Source organism: Homo sapiens, chromosome 10 (assembly GCF_000001405.40).
Source record: "Homo sapiens chromosome 10, GRCh38.p14 Primary Assembly".
Taxonomy (NCBI): Eukaryota; Metazoa; Chordata; class Mammalia; order Primates; family Hominidae; genus Homo; species Homo sapiens.
In genome coordinates this window covers 91762810-91768239 of record NC_000010.11, presented here as the reverse complement: position 1 = coordinate 91768239, position 5430 = coordinate 91762810, and the positions used below count along the sequence as shown (strand labels likewise).

The 5430-nt window shown below is 38.6% G+C and overlaps 1 pseudogene; it reads left to right on the top strand.

Annotated features, from left to right (window-relative positions):
• On the top strand, positions 1020-2538 carry FAF2P1 (Fas associated factor family member 2 pseudogene 1; annotated as a pseudogene).
• Positions 2539-5430: the final 2892 nt, after the last annotated feature.

The window sequence follows — 5430 nt, the reverse complement described above, 5'->3', positions numbered from 1 at the left end:
ATATATACATAAATATAAACACATGCATATGTATGTATGATTTGTTATAGGAATTTAACCTTGCACAATATAGGAGCTGGTAAAACAGCCTCTATAAGGCTGTTGTCTCTGTGTCCAATGCTGGACCTTGAAATCTGTATGACAGACAATTGAGAAGGAAAGAAGGATATTAGGGGGTAGAACAGAGGCAGAACCTGGATCAGCTTAAGTCTCATTGCCTCTAACCTTGGTGATGTGGGTGTCCAGCAGGAGAAACTAGTGCCACTTGCTAAGGAGTTGGAGGGGTTGAAAGAGGATTCAGAGTAATTTGGAGCAATTACAACCTGACTGTTGTTTCCACACCAACAAAGGTGAGCCAAGAGATTAGCTACAATGTACATGAGCTATAACAACGCCTGCTCTGACATGTGAACATAAAAATTATAGCTGCTACTTTACTTCTGCTCTCCAAATCTCTTGCAAGAAAGGCCTCCTATGGTCCACCCTAACCAAAAACCATCAGGGAAAAGAATTCTGGGAGATATAGTATTGCCTAGCTAAATCAATCCATCACAAAACAATTTTTTCCAAATGAATTTATTGGTTAATTCAATTTTAGTTAACAGTCCCAGTAGCTGTTTTTGTTCCTCCTGTGGAAATTTACAAATTTATCCTAAAATTCATCTAGAAATGCAAAGAACCAAGAACAGTCAAGACAATTCTGAAGAAGGCTGAGGACTTAGACTACCAGATATCGTGACTTGTTATATTGCTAAAATAACAAAGCTCATGGGCCTGAGGATAGACAAATAGACCAATGCAACAGAATAGAAAATCCAAAAACAAACCCACAATATATGCAGTTATCTGATTAATGACAAATATGAAACTGTAGTATAGTAATGAAATGAAAGTCTTCAATAAGTGGTGATGGGACAATTTGATATCCATATGAAAATGAATTTTTACCCTGCTCTCACTCAAAAGCAATTGCAGACATATTAGATATAGATATAAAAGGTTAAGTAATAAAACTCTGCAGGAGCATAGAGGCGATGTCTGAGAAGCAGGATCTAACACAGGAACAGACAGAGAAGCTGCTGCAGTTTTAGGATCTAACTGGCATAGAATCTATGGATCAGCATCACCAGACCTTGGAACAGCATAACTGGAACATACAGGTTGCTGAACAGGACAGCTTGAATGAGCGAGATGGTGTATGGAGTGTTTTCAACCCGCCTCCGTCCCCACCCCTGCAGGTTAATACAGCTGACCACAGGATCTACAGCTATGTTGTCTCAAGACCACAACCGAGGGGTCTGCTTGGATGGGGTTATTACTTGATAATGCTTCCATTCCAGTCTACCTATTACACAATACTTGATATATTTAGGTTTGCCCTTTGTTTTATATGGCTTGACCTTCGCAGCCAGATCACTGACCCTGTTGGGTACATTGTTTCATTTATGCTAGCGTTTGAATAGAAATATGGGAGGGCACACCTTGTCTTCTAGCCCAGAACACACAGCCAGGCACTTAATGATGCCAAGCTGGAGCTTCGCTCTTTGGTTTATCTTCTTGGAGATGATCAACAGGTCTCTGATAAGTTTTGTTGCAACACACTCTGTGAACCCAAAGTTATTTCACTAAAATTCTTTCTCTAGGATGCTCTTCTGGGCATGCTCTACAAACAAATCTGAGGGATACAGGATCTTGCGGGCGTTATGAGAGAACACCTATCCATTCCTGGCCATGGTGATGCTGAAGGATCAGCGGATGACTGTGGTGGGATGGCTAGAAGGCCTCCTTCAACTGGATGACCTCATTAACCAACTGACATCTATCATGGATACAAACCAGACTTACCTGGTGTCAGAATGCCTGGAAAGGGAAGAAAGAAACCAGACCCAGGTGTTGAGACAAAAGCAGGATGAGGCCTACCTGGCTTCTCCCAGGGCTGACCAGGAGAAAGAAATGAAGAAATGGGAGGAGTGGGAGCTTAAGCAGCAGAAGGAGGAGGAGGTGCAAGAGCAAAAGCTGGCAGAGAAGAGATGGTAGCAGAATTTACATGAGGAAAAGGAAAGGAAGTTGGAATGCCTGCCCCTGAAATTTCCCCGATGACCCTGAAAATGTCAAGATTATCTTCAAATTACACAGTGATTCTCAAGTAGAGAGATGATTCCACTTTTCATAGTCTCTAACAATAATCCATGACTTCTTATTCTCCTTGAAAAAAAGCCCTGAAAAGCTTCCAATTGAAGCCAATTTTTCCAGGCAAGTGCTGCCCAATTTCCCTATGCTGCAGGAGGTTGGACTCAGCCATACAGGAGTTCTGTTTGTTCAGGATCTAATAGACAAATGACATTTTTTCTTCCCCTCCCCTCCTACTCCCATCCCTAAACGAAACAGAAAAACACACAAACAAACAAAACAGAAAAAAAAACAACCAAGAGAGAGAAATTCATATTATTATTATACAATATATTTTTTAAAAGACTACTGCATCCAAAGGAAGGATCAGAAGCCATGTTGCCTGCAAGACATCACAACCTGTTTGTGCGTACACAAGGTTAGCAATGAACGTACCCACTCAGCAAGCTCAGCTTTTCTCGATGGCCTCTGCACATGCACCATCCAGTAAACAGAGACTCTTCCCCTTCAACTCATACATTGTCCCAACTGGGGAAGGGGACATTCCCACAAATTCTCATTGATTCTTGGTTTTATGGAAAATAAAGTGAAAAACTTCCATCAACCAGCTACTTGCAGCATCTTCTGAGGACTTGCTTCTCCCACCTCTGGAGAGGAGAGGGAAGAGAAAGTACACAGCAGAGATGTTCCTTGAACTGCCACAATTTATGAATAATTTTGTTTCTGTTTTGCAATGACCAAGGGGGCTGAAAAAAAAATTCCAAGAAGAAGGCACAGATGAATATATTCATGAAATTGGAATAGGCAATGATTTTCTAAAATTATTTCCATAGATTTAGGGGGTATAAGTGCAGTTTTGTAACATGGATATATTGTGTAGTGGTGAACTTTAGGCTTTTAGTGTACCCATGACCTGAATAGTGAACATTGTACCCAGTAGGTAATTTTTCAACCTTTACCCCCTCTGCCACTCTCTCACCTTTAAAAAAATTTATTTATTTATTTATTTTGAGACAAGAGTCTTACTCTGTCGCCCAGGCTGGAGTGCAATGGCATGATCTTGGCTCATTACAACCTTTGCCTCCTGGGGTCAAGTGATTCTCTGCCTCAGCCTCCCAAGAAGCTGGGATTATAGGCATCTGCCACCATGCCCAGCTAATTTTTGTATTTTTAGTAGAGGTGGGGTTTCACCATGTTGGCCAGGCTGGTCTCAAACTACTGGCCTCAAGCAATCTGACCGCCTTGGCCTCCCAAAGTGCTGGGATTATAGGCGTGAGCCACCGCACCTGGCCCCTCTCACCCTTTGGAGTCTCCAATGTCTATTATTGCCCTCTGATGTCCATGTATACCTTCTGTTTAACTCCCACTTAGACGTGAGAACATGCTATATTTGACTTTCTGTTTCTGAGTTATTTTATTTAGAATAATGGCCTCCAGCTCCATCCATGTTGATGCAAAATACATGATTTCATTATTTTTATGGTTGCATAGTATTCCATGGTATATATATGTCACATTTTCTTTATCCAATCATCTATTGGTGAACACTTAGACTTATTTCATGACTTTGTTATTGTGAATGGTGCTGCAGTAAACATATGAGTGCAGGTGTCTTTTTGATATAATGATTTCTTTTCATTTGGGTAGACATCTAGTGGTATTGCTGGTTTGAATGGTAGTTCTATTTTCAGTTTTATTTGAGAAATCTCCATACTGTTTTCCATAGAGATTGTACCAATTTACATTCTCACCAACAATGTATATGCATTCCCTTTTTGTCACATTCTCACTGATATCTGTTTTTTGACTCTTTAATAATAACTATTCTGACTGATGTAAGATGGTATCTCATTGTAGTTTTAATTTGCATTTCAATGATGACTAGTGATGTTGAGCTTTTTTACCTGTTTGTGGGCTGCTTGTAAATCTTCTTTTGAAAAATATCTGTTCATGTCTTTTGCCCATTTTTAATGGGGTTATCTATTTTTTTCTTGTTGAGTTTGATTTCCTTGTAGATTCTAGATATTAGCCCTTCGTCAGATGCATAGTTTACAAACATTTTTTTTCCCATTGTGTAGGTTGCCTGTTTACTCTGTTAATTATTTCTTTTGCTATATGGAAGCTTTTAGTTCAATTAAGTCCCATGTGTCTATATCTGTTTTTGTTGTATTTGTTTTTGATGACAGTCAGAAATTCTTTGCCTAGGCCAACATTTAGAAGAGTTTTTCTGAGGTGTTCTTCTAGGATTTTTATAGTTTCAGGTCTTATATTTAAGTCTTTAATCTATCTTGAGTTAATTTTTACATATGGTGAGAGATATGAGTCCAGTTTCCTTCTTCTGCATATGGTTATTCAATGTTCCCAGAATCATTTATTGAAAAGTGTGTCTTTTTCGCAGTGCATGTTTTTGTTGACTTTGTCTGTTGTAGATGTCGTTTATTCCTGGTCTCTGTTCTGTTCCATTGATCTATGTGTCTATTTTATACCAGTGTCATGGTGTTTTGGTTAATATAGCGTCGTAGTATAATTTCAAGTCAGGTAAGGTGATGCTTTATTCTAGCTTTGTTCTCTTTGCTTAGGATTTCTTTGGCTATTCAGGCTCTTTTTGCATTCCATTGGAATTTTAGGATTTTTTTTCCCCTAATTCCATGACAAATGACATTGGTAATTTGATAGGAATTGCATTTAATATGTAGATTGTTTTGGATAGTATGATCATTTTAACAATATTGATTTTTCCAATTCACAAGCATGGGATGTTTTTCCATTTGTTTGTGTCACCTACAATTTCTTTCATCAGTGTTTTGTAGTTCTTCTCATAAAGATCTTTTACCCCCTTGGTTAAATGTATTTCTAGGTATTTTATTTTATTTTTCTAGCTACTGTAAAAGGGATTGAGTTCTTAATTTGGTTCTCAGCTTGATTTTATTGGTGGATAGACATGCTGCTGATTTTTGTATCTTGATTTTGTATCCTGAAATTTGACTGAAGTCATTAATCAAATTTAAAACTCTTTGGAGGAGTGTTAGGATTTTTCTAGAGATAAGATCATATCATCAGTGAACAGAGATACTTTGACTTCCTCTTTCTAATTTGGATGCCTTTTATTTCTTTCCGTAGGTAGGATTCCACTACCATGTTGAATAGGAGTGGTAAAAGTGGGCATCCTTGTCTTGTTCCAGTTCTTAGGGAGAATGCTTTTAGCTTTTCTATATTCAGTGTGATGTTGGCTGTGGGTTTGTCATATACGGCTTTTATTATTTTGATATATGTTCCTTTGATGCCTAGTTTGTTGAGGGC